The 14640-nt window shown below is 38.5% G+C and overlaps 1 protein-coding gene and 1 long non-coding RNA gene across 3 annotated transcripts in view; one reads left to right on the top strand and one right to left on the bottom strand.

The window, feature by feature from the left end:
- The window catches only part of MRPL1 (mitochondrial ribosomal protein L1), an 89956-nt gene that overhangs the window by 7309 nt on the left and 68007 nt on the right, over positions 1-14640 (bottom strand). The window lies entirely within an intron of this gene.
- Positions 1-14640, top strand: part of LOC102724916 (uncharacterized) — a 34112-nt gene that overhangs the window by 7034 nt on the left and 12438 nt on the right. Inside the window, exons 2-3 of the long non-coding RNA XR_001741744.2 lie at positions 7349-7444; positions 8931-9026. This is a non-coding gene — a long non-coding RNA (uncharacterized LOC102724916). The remainder of the gene's footprint in view (positions 1-7348; positions 7445-8930; positions 9027-14640) is intronic.

Raw genomic sequence — 14640 nt, 5'->3', positions numbered from 1 at the left:
ATCACATGTTCCTTCTAAAGTGGCAGCTTCTATTAACTATAACTGTTCTGATAGTCTCTAGATGACTAATCACCTTTGACTGAAAACTGAAGAGAGGACTGCTGCTTTGGATAAGCACTTGTTAGACCAGTTGTCCTCCAAAATCTCTTCCAAATGTAATATTCTAAGACTATATAAAGTGTGGCCTGGCAGACAGCTTTTGAAGATGAGCCAAAACTCTTAATTTCCATGACTCCTAACAGTCTAAACCAAGAAAAGAAAGGTTATCTGTATGTCTCCTACATAACATAAAGTAGTAGTAGTAGTAATAATAATAATAATAATAATAATAATAATAATAATAATAATTGATGGTGCAGCTCTGTTTATTGGGTACTTACTTTGGGCCAAACTCTGAGTGTTCACATAGATATTCTTATTCATTTCTCCCAAGAACCTTATGAGGTAGGTGCTATTATTATCCTTTATTTACACTTATAAACTGAGACTCAGAAAACTCTGTAACTTATTCATGAGCACACACATGGTAAGGAGTGGCCAAGTAGCTACGTGTCTGAGCACTTAAGGCAGACAAACCCCACTTCCACCACCTTACTAGCTTATGACTCTGGACACAGCTATTACAAGTTCGTGATCTTTATATAAGGAAAATGAAGTATCAGTTGTCTGAGAAACACAAGTGAGCGTGTTGTATACTAAGGGGAGAAAAAGGGAAACTAAGTGAAACACTAAAAGAATATACATTTAAGATGGAAAAATAAGAATTTTTCTCTCTGCCTAATGAATCCTTTAGTGCCTTCCTAATTTTTAGATGTTAATACCATACAACTTAGCAACATTTACTTAACCCTCACTCTGTCAAGCAACACATGGAACCAGGAACAGGAAGACGAATAAGATACAAACCTCGCCCTTGAGATTACAATCTAGACACTAAAACACAACATAAGAAATACCACTTTATATGAACGAAGTGCTACAAGGGCACAGAGGAAGAAGTAATTGACACGGAAGGCTTTACTCATCACGAAAAAAGGTAGTATCTAAGCTGAGTCTTAAAGGATGGAGAATTTTGAAGGACAAAGAGGATCTTCTAGGCAGAGGGACCAGCATAAGGTAATGTGAGACAAAGGTGGATCAGGAGAGCCCACAGACCCTTTGAAGGAAGTGGATTGCTGCGACAGGCCCCAGAGACAGCTGAAAAACTGTGCTGCTATCTATGGCTGTGAGACCTGAAGACAGTTCACATCATAGTACTCTGTGCAGACATGCCCCAGTACCAGCCTGGAGCCTGGTAACTGCTGGGTGGCCAGATCCAGAAGAGAAATAACAATCACTACAGTTTGGCTCTCAGGAATCCCCATCCCTAGGGGAAGGAGGGGAGCACTACATCAGTGGAACACCTGGTGGGACAAAAGAATCTGAACAGCAGCCCTTGAGCCTCAGAACTTCCCTCTGATGTAGTCTGCCCAAATAAGAAATCAGAAAAACAATTGTGATAATATAACAAAACCAAAGTTCTTAAACATCCCCCTAAAAGATCACACTAGCTTATCAGCAATGGATCGCAATGGATCCAAACCAAGAAGAAATCCCTGAATTGCCAGGAAAAGAATTCAGAAGGTCGATTATTAAGCTAATCAAGGAGGCACCAGAGAAAGGTGAAGTCCAACTTAATGAAATAAAAAATGTGATACAAGATATGAAGGGAAAAATGTTCAGTGAACCAGATAGCATAAATAAAAAATAATCAAAACTTCCGGAAATGAAGGACACACTTAAAAGAAATGCAAAATGCACTGTAAAGTCTCAGTAATAGAATCGAACAAGCAGAATAAAGAATTTCAGAGCTTGAAGACAAGATTTTTGAATTAACTCAATCTACAGAGAAAGAAAAGAGAATCAAAATAAATAAATAAACAAAGCCTCCAAAAAGTTGGGATTATGTTAAATGACCAAAACTAAGAATAATTGGTGTTCCTGAGGAAGAAAAGAAATCTAAAAGTTTGAAAAACATATTTGAGGGAATAATCAAGGAAAACTTCCCAGCGTGGCTAGAGATCTAAATACATAGCAGCTCAAAGAACACCTGGGAAATTTATCACAAAAAGATCATTGCCTAGACACGTAGTCATCAGGTTATCCAAAGCCAAGATGAAGGAAAGGATCTTAAAAGCTGTGAGGAAAAGCACCAGGTAACCTAAAAAGGAAAACCCATCAGATTAACAGCAGATTTCTCCACAGAAACCCTACAAGCTAGAAGGGATTAGGGCCCCATCTTCAGCCTCCTTAAAAAAAAAATTATTGGCCAATAATTTTGCATCCAGTGAAACTAAGCTTCATAAATGAAGGAAATACACAATCTTTTTCAGACAAACAAATGCTGAGAGAATTTGCCACTACCAACCCAGCACTACAAGAACTGCTAAAAGGAGCTCTAAATCTTGAAACAAATCCTTGAAATACACACCAAAATGAACCTCCTTAAAACATAAATCTCACAGGACCTATAAAACAAGGACATAATAAATTTTAAAAAAGGGTATCAGGCAACAAATAACGCAATGAATAGAATAGTACCTCACATCTCAATACTAATGTTGAATGTAAGTGGCCTAAATGCTCTACTTAAAAGATACAGAATAGCAGAATGGATAAGAATTAACCAACCAAGTATCTGCTGTCTTCAAGAGACTCACCTAACACATAAGGACTCAAATCAACTTAAGGTAAAGAGGTGGGAAAAAAATTAATCCATACAAATGGACACCAAAAGTGAGCAGGAGTAGCTATTCTTATATCAGACAAAACAAACTTTAAAGCAACAGCAGTTAGAAAAGACAAAGACATTATATTTTGACATTATATAAAGACAAAAGAACTTGTCCAACAGGAAAATATCACAATCCTAAATATATATGCATTAACACTGGAGCTCCCAAATTTATAAAACAACTACTACTAGACCTAAGAAATGAGATAGACAGCAACACAATAATAGTGGCAGATTTCAAAACTCCACTGACAGCACTAGACAGGCCATCAAGACAGAAAGTCAACAAAGAAACAATGGATTTAAAATATACCCTAGATCAAATGAGCTTAACAGATATTTACACAACATTCTACCCAACAACTGCAGAATATACATTCCATTCATCAGCACATGGAACAGTCTCCAAGATAGATCATAGGATAGGCCATAAAACAAGTCTCAATAAATTTAAGAAACTGAAATTATATCAAGTACTGTCTCAGACCACAGTGGAATAAAAGTAGAAATCAACTCCAAAAGGAACCCTCAAAACCGTAGAAATTAAACAGCCTGCTCCTGAATGATGATAGGGTTAACAATAAAATCAAGATGGAAATTAAAAAATTATTTGAACTGAATGATAATAGTGACACAACCTATCAAAATCTTTGGGATTCAGTAAACGGAGTACTAAGAGGAAAGTTCATAGCCTTCAATGCCACATCAAAAAATCTGAAAGAGCAAAAACAGACAATCTAAAGTCACACCTCAAAGAACTAGAGAAACAAGAATAAACCAAACCCAAACCCAGCAGAAGAAAAGAAATAACCAAGATCAGAGCAGAACTAAATGCAATGGAAACAAACAAACAAAAAACAATACAAAAGATAAATGAAACAAATGGATGGTTCTTTGAAAAGATAAATAAAATCGATAGATGATTACCAAGATTAATGAAGAAAAAGAGAAAATCCAAATATGCTCAATTAGAAATGAAACAGGAGATATTAAAACTGATACCACAGAAATACAAAAGATCATTAAAGGCTACTCTGATACTTTTACGCACATAGAAAACCTAGAAGAGATGGATAAATTCCTGGAAATAGACAACCCTCCTAGATTAAACCAGGAAGAAATAGAAACTCTGAACAGACCAATAATAAGCAGTGAGGTTGAAATGGTTAAAAACAACAACAACAAAACTGCCAACAAAAAATTCCAGGACCAGATGAATTCACAGCTGAATGATATCAGACATTCAAAGAAGAACTGGTACTGATCCTACTGACACTATTCCACAAGATAGAGAAATAGGGAATCTTCCCTAAATTGTTCTATGAAGCCAATATCACCCTAATACCAAAACCAGGAAAGAACATAACAAAAAAAGAAAACTACAGATCAATATCTCTGACGAATATAGATGCAAAAATCCTCTTTTTTTTTTTTTTCTGAGGCAGAGTTTTGCTCTTTTTACCAAGACTGGAGTGCAATTGCGTGATCCTGGATCATGGCAACCACTGCCTCCCGGGTTCAAGTGATTCTCCTGCCTCAACCTCCCAAGTAGCTGGGATTACAGGCATGTGCCACCACGCCCGGCTAATTTTGTATTTTTAGTAGACATGTGGTTTCACTATGGTGGCCAGGGTGGTCTTGAACTCCTGACATCAGGTGATCCACCCACCTCAGTCTCCCAAAGTGCTAGGATTACAGGCACCGCTAGGATTGAGCCACTGCACCCAGCCTATAGATGCAAAAATCCTTAACAAAATACTAGCTGACCAAATCCAACAGTATATCAAAAAGATAATCCACTATGACCTGGGGTTCATATCAGGATGCAGGCATAGTTTAACATATGCAAGTTAATAAATGTGATACACCACATAAACAGAATTAAAAACAAAAATCACATGATCATTTCAATAGATGCAGAAAAAAGCATTTAACATAAGTCAGCATCCCTTAATGATTGAAACCCTCAGCAAAATCAGCATAGATGGGACACACCTTAATGTAATAAAAGCCACGATGACAAACCCACAGCCAACAAAATACTGAATGGGGAAAAGTTGAAAACTTGAACCCTGAGAACTGGAACAAGACAAGGAGGATGCCCACTCTCACCACTTCTATTTGACATTGCACTGGAAGTCCTAGCCAGAGCAATTAGACAAGAGAAAGAAAAGGCATCCAAATCAATAAAGAGGAAGTCAAATTGTCACTGTTTGCTGATGATATGATCATATACCTAGAAAACTCTAAAGACTCCTTCAAAAAGCTCCTATAACTGATAAATGAATTCAGCAAAGTTTCAAGATACAACATTAATGTAAACAAATCAGTAGGTCTGCTATACACCAACAGCAACCAAGCTGAGAATCAAGTCAAGAACTCAACCCTCTTTACAATAGCTCCAAAAAATAAAATAAAATACTTAGGAGTATACCTAACCAAAGAGGTAAAAGACCTCTACAAGGAAAACTACAAAACACTGCTGAAAGAAATCATAGACAACACCCACAAATGGAAACATATCCCATGCTCATGGATGGGAAGAATCAATATTGTGAAAATGACCATACTGTCAAAAGCAATATACAAATTAAGTGCAACTCCTATCAAAATACCGACATCATTCTTCACAGAACTAGAAAAAAAAATCCTAAAATTTATATGGAACCAGAATGAGCCCACATAGCCAAAGCAAGACTAAGCAAAAAGAACAAATCTGGAGGCATCATATTACCTGACTTCAAACTATACTATAAGGCCATAGTCACCAAAACAGCATGGTACTGGTATAAAAAATAGGCACATAGACCAATGGAACAGAATAGAGAACCCAGAAATAAAACCAAATACTTACAGCCAATTCATCTTTGACAAAGCAAACAAAAACATAAAGTGGAGAAAGGACACCCTATTCAACAAATAGTGCTGGGATAACTGGCAAGCCACATGTAGAAGAATAAAACTGGATCCTCATCTCTCACCTTATACAAAAATCAACTCAAGATGGATCAAGGACTTAAAATCTAAGACCTGAAACTATAAAAATTCTAGAAGATAACATCGGAAAAACCCTTTTAGACACTGGCTTAGGCAATGACTTCATGTCCAAAAAACCCAAAAGCAAATGCAACAAAAACAAAGATAAATAGATGGAACTTCATTAAACTAAAAAGCTTCTGCGCAGCAAAAGAAACAATCAGCAGAGTAAACAGACAACCCAAAGAGTGGGAGAAAATCTTTGCAATCTATACATCAGACAAAGGACTAATATCCAGAATCTAGAAGAAACTCAAAGAAATCGGGAAGAAAAAAAACAAGCAATCCCATCAAAAAGAAGGCTAAGGACATGGGGAGACAATTCTCAAAAGAAGACACACAAATCCCAACAAACATGAAAAATGCTCAACATCACTAATGATCAGGGAAATGCACATCAAAACCACAATGCGATACCACCTTACCCCTGCAAGAACAGCAACCTGGATGGAATTGGGGACCATTTTTCTAAGTGAAGTAACTCAGGAATGGAAAACCAAACATCGTATGTTCTCACTCATAAGAGGGAGCTAAGCTATAGGATGCAAAGGCATAAGAATGATATAGTGGACTTTGGGGAATCAAGGGAAAGGGTGGGAGGGGAGTGAGGGATAAAAGACTACACTTTGGGTACAGTGTACACTGCTCGGGTGATGAGTGTACCAAAATCTCAGAAATCACCACTAAAGAACTTACTCCTGTAACCAAACACCACCTGTTCCCCAAAAACTGATTGAAATAAAAAAATAAAAGGTGGATCAGGGGACCATGAGGTAGCTCATTGTATCTAGGTCCAGGGTTACGAACTCAAATGCCTACAGTGGCCAAAGTGGGAAACATGTACAAGTGAGGAGGACTGGGTTTAGGTGCATATGCTTATACCATGTGTGTGATACAGGTTGTGCTGAGGTGGAGAGCAACCACTAGGGGTGGAGACAGCAGAGTTGCTACAACTAAGGGTTAACAGACTGAGGGCTGTGGGGCCAATGTCCTCAGAACTCCTGATTTGTCAAGAACAGCTAAAAATCTGGATTTTTATGGGATACTGTCCAGTATTTAAATCCTGATTCAATAAGACAAAACAAACCACCACCACTATTTGGGCCCAAAAAAGTAAGACCAGTGGCCAAATTCAGCCTGCAAGCTGCCATTTGTAAGTCTGGTCTTCCAGTTGCACAACTGAAAACAGCAGGAAATACTGAATTTGAACCAGAGGGAGTGATCTGAAACTAGGTTGCAAAGGGATTTAAAGGTAAAGGTCTTAGAAAATACCCCGTCAGCAGTGAAAAGCCATTTGATGTTTCTAAGCAGATAAATGGTATATCTGATCTATGTTTTAGAAAGAATTCTAGAAGAGTATGAAACAGGAGTTGGCATACTTTCTTTGTAAATGGTAAGGCAGTAAATATTTTAGGCTTTGCAGGCCAAATGGCCTCTGTCACAATTCTTCCATTTCTGCTGTTCTGGTGTAAAAGAAATCATAGACAATACATAAATGAGCACAGTTATATTCTAACAAAACTTTCTTTACAAAAACAGGTGGAGAGCTGGATTTGGTTTGCTGACTCCTGGGACAGAAGACAGACTGAAGGATGTCTGAGGAAATGAATGAGTAAAAGCCACCATTTTTGTTTTGTAAGTTTTTGCTATAGCAGAAGTATTTTTTGTTTTGTTTTTTTAAAGAAAGCTTTGTTGGATCCTGATAGACTTCTGGTTTCCTACTATGTATCTATTATGCAGTTGAGACTTAGGGTTTCCTACTATGTATCTACTATGCAGTTGTCTGGCTAAGAAATGCATTGTCATTTAAAATGTTTTAAAATGCTTAGCAGTGGTTTCAGTAGCTGATATAAACTTTATATATGCATTTGAAACAAGTTTCTTCAAGATTCACAATGAAGACTCAAATCTGAAAGGAAAAAAGGCATTCAGTACCCTATATTCTAAAGAAAGATGCCAACAATTAAGGCCACCAAAAAGGTCCTACCATAATCAACACCCAACCCAAGAGGCAGCAGAAGCCAAGTGAGGAGGAAAGTCTCCAAGAGGTTCATCTGTAAAGACTGGGTGGTACCTGCAGGAAGGAGAGACTGAATGACTGAACATGTGCTATATGAAGGAAATCAAACCACCCAAAATGGGGACCACAAATATGGGCGGGGAAGTAGAGGCATTTGGGTTTTCCCCCTTAATCTCCTCTTCAGGCATCTACCCCAGAGCAGTTAGGCCTGGAAAAGGCACTGGGGGCCAGGTACTTAGAACTGAGTATTCTAAGATCAAACCTGGGAGGCTGAAATCGCAATAAGTGCTCCCCACTTCAGGACACACAAGCCATCAAAGCCTGGCTCCAAATTAGTCAAGGGAAATCTTTGGATATGAGATTAGAGTTTTGAACTGGAACACAGGCACTGGAACTATGAGATCTGTCTAGTATGCGTGCGTCTAACGCAGAAGGGAAGTAGTACCGGGCACAGTTGAAAGAGAATGAAGAAAATGATGTCATGTTTATACCCACTAAATTCACCTTTCTTCTTTTTTTTTTTGAGACAGCATTTTACTCTGTCACCCAGACTGGAGTGCAATGACACTAACACACCTCATTACAGCCTCGGCCTCCTGGCCTCAAGCAATCTTCCTATCTCAGCCTCTCAAGTAGCCAGGACCACAGGCATGCGCCACCACGCTGGGCTAATTTTTAAAATTTTTATAGAGATGGGGTCTCATCTTGCTGCCCAGGCTACTCTTGAACTCCTTGGCTCAGGCGATTCTCCCATCTCGGCTTCCCAAAGTGCTGGGATTACAGGCATGAGCCATCGTACCTTGTCTAAATTCAGATTTTTTAATAAACAATGCCACATTCGTACATAGACACAGAATGCATTCTGTGTGTATGAGAGCCTTGAATTTATGTTCATTAGAATATTTATAATAATGAGATATTAGAAACAGGACTTGGCATACTTTCTTAGTAAATGGTAAGGCAGTAAATATTTTAGGTTTTGCAGGCCAAATGGCCTCTGTCACAATTCTTCCACTTCTGCTGTTCTGGTGCAAAAGAAATCATAGACAATACATAAATGAGCACAGTTGTATTCTAACAAAACTTTCTCTACAAAAACAGGTGGAGAGCTGGATTTGGTTTGCTGACTCCTGGGACAGAAGACAGACTGAAGGATGTCTGAGGAAATGAATGAGTAAAAGTCACCATTTTTGTTTTGTAAGTCTTTGCTATAGCAGAAGCATTTTTTGTTTTGTTTTGTTTTGTTTTTAAAGAAAGCTTTGTAGGATCCTGATAGACTTCTGGTTTCCTATGTATCTATTATGCCCAACAAAAGAAATAAAGTTGAATAAATAATTATATATCTACATAATAGGTTATGAAACAGCTATTAAAATACTTTGCAAGGATTTTAATGACATGGGAAAGTGTTCAAGATACAGTGTTAAAGGGAAAAGAATACGAAAGTCAATATATAATAGCAATTACATAAAAAAAAAATACGTCCATACAGAAAGAGCAGTAATAAAAAGTACTAAAATGGTGAATGATTACAGGAATTCTGAATGATTTTTGTATTCTTACCTAGACGATTCAGTATTTTCTAAATATTTCACTATGTGCATTTATTACCTCTTAATAAAAAAATTAGTTTTAGTTTAGCATTTAAAATTATTTAAACTAGCCCTTTAAGATGCTATAAAATGCAAGACAGAGTTTACTTTTTTTTTTTTTTTTGAGACATAGTCTTGCTCTGTCGCCCAGGCTGGAGGGCAGTGGCGCAATCTTGGCTCACTGCAACCTCTGCCTCGCAGGTTCAAGTGATTCTCCTGCCTTAGCCTCCCGAGTAGCTGGGACTACAGGTGTGCACCACCATGTCCGGCTAATTTTTTGTATTTTTACTAGAGACAGGGTGCACCTGGCCCACAGTTTACTTCTTAATGAAGATATAAAGCAATATAAGAATTATTCTCAGCCGGGCACAGTGGCTCATACCTGTAATCCCAGCACTTTGGCAGGCCAAGGCAGGTGGATCAACTGAGGTCAGGAGTTCGAGACCAGCCTGCCCAACATGGCGAAACCCTATCTCTACTAAAAATACAAAAAATTAACCAGGTATGATGGCGGGCACCTGTAATCCCAGCTACTCATGAGGCCGAGGGCAGGAGAATTGCTTGAATCCGGGAGGCAGAGGCTGCAGTGAGCCAAGATGCGCCACTGCACTCCAGCCTGGGCGAGAGAGCGAGACTCCGTCTCAAAAAGAAAAAAAAAAGAATTATTTTCACTGTTGATCTAGAGGCATAAACCCAAACCCCTGCCTGACCACCACTACAGCTCCTAACAAGCTAATTATGTTGTTATATGTTTATATATTTTTTAAGTTACATTTTTAAAATCGAAAGATAGTAAAATTAACATTTTGGGGGGTGTATCTTTTGAAACTCATGCATACATTCAGGTAATGACCACTCCAATACAGGATACAGAATCCAAAAAATTCCCTCATGTGATTTCTCTCAGGCACAAACACCATCCACTCCTGACTCCTGGTAACCACTTATTTACTAGTGTTCTTTTTGAAAATGTCATATAAACAAAATAACAGTATATAACCCATTAAACAATAACTCCCCATTGCCCCCTTCCTCCAGCCCCTGGCAACCACCATTCTACTTTCTATCTCTACGAATTTCACTGTTATAGGTACCTTATACAAGTGGAATGATACAATATTTGTCCTTTTGTGACCGGCTTATTTCACATAACAAAATGTTCTCAAGGTTCATGCATGTTGTAGGATGCGTCAATTTCCTTCATTTGTAAAGGCTGATACTATTGCATTCCATGTGTGTGCTGCACTTTATCCATTCATCTGTTAATTGTCATATGGGCTGCTTGTACCTTCTGGCTCCTGTGAATGCTACTGTGAACATGGGTATGCCATCATCTGTTCAAGTCCCTGCTTTGAATTCTTTTCAGTATGTATCTAGAAGTGGATTTGGTGGATCATATAATTCTATGTTTAATTTTTTGAGAATTGCCATATTGTTTTTCATAGCGGCTATAGTATTTTACATTCCCATTAGCAATAAATAAGAGTTCCAGTTTCCCTATATCCTCGTCAACACTTGTTATTTTATTTTTTTAAATAATAGCCATCCTACAGAGTATGAAGGGGTATCTCATTGTGATTTTAATTTGCATTTTCCTGACAGCTAATAATGTTATGTGTTTATTGTCCATTTGTATATCATCTTTGGAGAGATATGTATTTAGGCTCTGTGCTCCTTTCAAAATTGAGTTATTTATCTTTCTATTATTGAATTGTAAAAGTTATTTATGTACTGTAGATTCAAGTCTCATATCATATATATGATTTCCAGATATTTTCTCCCATTCAGTGGGTTGCCTTTGTGCTCTATTGATAATGTCATTTAACGCACAAAAGTTTTAAATTTGGATGAAGTCCAATTTATCTTCTACTTCTTTTGTTGTCTGTGCTTTTGGTGTCAGTAAGTAACAATTTCAGACTGGCTTCTTTCACTTAAGTTACAGTACAAAACCTTTTGAGATTCTAAGTTGCTGTGTCTATACAACAGCTCATACCTTTTTTTATTGCTGAGTAAAATTCCACTGTATGATGCACCAGAGATTTTTTCACATGTAGGAAAACATCTATGAACAAAACTGGGTTTTTCCAGCTTTTAATAATTATCAATAGAGTTACTGTAAACATTTGTGTTCAGATATCTGTGTGAATGTAGGTTTTCATTTCACTTTAAATTTTTCATTGTGTGGAGTTAAAAACCCACAGTAGAACTGCTGGGACATACGGTAATTGTATGATGAGCTTTACAAGATACAACTGTTTTCCACAGTGGCTGTACTACTTTGCATTCCTACTTGAAATGTATGAGAGTTGCAGTTTCTCTGTAATCCTGCCATTATTTCTTTAAGTAATTTTCTGTACCACGCTTCTTCTTTCCTTCTGGAATTCCACTGATGTGAAAGTTAGATCTTTTGTTACTATCCCACAGGACCCTCAGGCTCTCTTCATTTTTTTCCAGTCTTTTGCCTCTCTGCTTTTCAGATTGGAAAATTTCTATGATCTTAGAGTTCCCTGACTCTCTTCTGTCATCTCCATTTATTTCATCTCCAGGAGTTTATAGTTTTATGAGATCACTTTTCCAAGTTCCACACTCTGCTTGATCTCCCCCGTACTTCTGGGTTCCCTGAGGCTCACCTTTTCAGCTCTGCCAAGAAAGCTGGGGCTTTATTTACCCAGTTCTGACACTTTTTGCAACCAAATGTTTCTCCACTGAGGGCCAACTAGCCCTCAGAGGACAAAGACAGAGAAAAAAAGCAAGGGTGGTATGCCCCACCCTCTTGTGACTACAGCTCCTCTAAACATAAAGACAGGTTCTAGCTGGGTGTGGTGGCTCACACCTCTCATCCCAGCATGCTGGGTGCTGAGGCTGGAGGATCACTTGAGAACAGGAGTTCGAGGCCAGCCTGAGCAACATAGCAAGACTCCATCTCTAAAAAGAAAATTAAAAATTAGCCACGTGTGGAGCGCATGTAGTCCTAACTACTTGAGAGGCTGAAAAAGGAGGATCCCTTGACTCCAAGTTTGAAGTTACAGTGAGCTATGCTTACATCACTGCACTCCAACCTTGGCAACACAGCAAGACCTGTCGCAAACAAAATTCCTTTTTTTTTTCTTTTTTTTTAAAAAAGGAAAGTTCCCTTCTCTCAAAGTTTTAGATACCTGTGCCTTACCCTACACAAGTGGTCCCAACCTTTTTAGTACCAGGGACCAGTTTTGTAGAAGACAGTTTTTCCAGTGCGGTGGGGGTGGGAGGTTCAGGATGATTTAAGCACATTATATTTATTGTGCACTCTATTTCTATTATTATTACACTGTAATATATAACAAAATAATTATATAACTCACCATGCTGTAGAATCAGTGGGGGCCCTGAGCTTGTTTTCCTGCAACTAGATGTCCCATCTGGGGAGGATGGGAGACAGTCACACCTGAAGTGTGTTGCTTATGTCCAATCTACTCTGTAATCTCGTTTTGGTTGCTGTCACTGTGGAAAACCCTCCTTCACAAAGAGGATGTTGGAAATGGAAGCAGGCTTTCCAGTGCTTTTGTGGCAATCTCAGGATATTCCACAGTGACTTTAATCCAGAACATATGGAGATTTGAAGCTATCTCAAACCTACTTTCAAGGTCACTGTCATTTGTGATCTCACAAATGGGCCAAGGATCTATTCCTTCCCAATTCAGGAGCCTTTTGTGGTTGGGAAGTAATGCCCAAACTCTTCGGAAGCTGAGAGAGGTGATCATGCACCAGCTGGGAGAAAGGAGGCCCTGGCTAAGTCTCTTTAAAAATCTCTGCTATTGTTTAAAATGTGTTAGAAATCCCAATGTTCACTAGTCACCCCCGTAATTCCAGTTTGACTTTGAATGCAGCCCCTTTATCTGCCAACTTGAACACAGTTGTTGTTGCTCCCAGAAGTGGCAGATTGAGTTTCTTGAGCAGGCTGAATATGTCAAACAAGTAAGCAAGTTTTGTGTCCCATTCTGTATCACTGAATGTGCTGCCAATGGTAACTGTTTTTCTAAAAGAAATCTCTGGAGCAGCTCTTGTAACTCAAAAACTCTGGCCAGTGACCTATCTTTAGAAAGTCATCTCACTTCTGTGTATAAGACGTCTGTGCTCTGCGTCCATCTCCTCACAGCGCTGCGTGAACAGATGAGAGTTAAGGGCATGTACTTTAACATAACTGATAATTTTAATGACGTCCTGCAAAACATTTTGAAGTTCGGGTGACATTTTTCAGCTAGCCAACATCTGTTTATGGATGACACAGTGCGCAGACTCACATTCAGAAGTGACCTCTTTTACCTAAGTAGTGAAACCAGAAAGCTGTCCAGTCACGGTAGCCACTCTGTCCATGTATATACCAACACAAGATGACTAATTCAGTTTTCCTGATGTGTAATCATTCAAAGACTTGAATAGTTCTGCAGCTGTGGTAATGGTTGGCAACAAAAGTACACATAATATATCCTCATATACATCCTCCTGAAAAATATATCACACAAAAACAAGCACTGTTGCCTTGCTAACGTCAGTAGAATTGTCAACCTGGATTGTGTGTCACAGTGATTCATTAATCCTCTCTAACAATTGTGCTTCAATATCCTCTGTTATTTCATCAGTTCATCTAGTTACAGTGCTAGCCAAAAGAGGAACATGTGCCACCTTTCGAATGCAGCTTCTCCTAAAAGTTCACAACAAATGTCCTTAGCAGCAGGCAGGATCAACCCCTTACCAATAGTAAAGGGCTTTTTAGCTTTAGCAATGTGGTTAGCCACTAAGAATGATGCTCTCAGTGCAGACACATTTGATGAAGTGGTGGCCTTCAATAATTGCTTCTGTTCTTCGTGTTCACGTTCTTTTCTTTTGAAAAACTCCAAAGGCTTGCCTTTTAATGAAGGGTAAGTGGTCTCCATGTGACAAAGCAGTTTTGAGGATTTCATGGCTTCACTGGACAGCCAGTCACCACATATTATACAAAGTGGGCTTGGAGAATGTGAATCACCCATTGCAACAAACCCGTTAATTTAAGAAGGAATCTTGCTCTTGGTATTTCTTTTAAATGCAGCTTTCTTTTGGCTGGCAGTCTTAGAGTCTTCTGCTGTCTCGTCATTGAGTCTTTCCCCCTTTTCAAAAAAGCTCTCCAGTGGCATTTGTTTTGTACTCATTTTGGCTAGGGTTAGCCTGTGGGCTTACCAAAACTGTGACTGAGACAAGTGCGC

Source organism: Homo sapiens, chromosome 4 (genome assembly GCF_000001405.40).
Source record: "Homo sapiens chromosome 4, GRCh38.p14 Primary Assembly".
NCBI classification, from domain to species: Eukaryota; Metazoa; Chordata; class Mammalia; order Primates; family Hominidae; genus Homo; species Homo sapiens.
The sequence above is the reverse complement of the archived record's forward strand: the minus strand, read 5'-3'. Positions and strand labels throughout refer to the sequence as shown.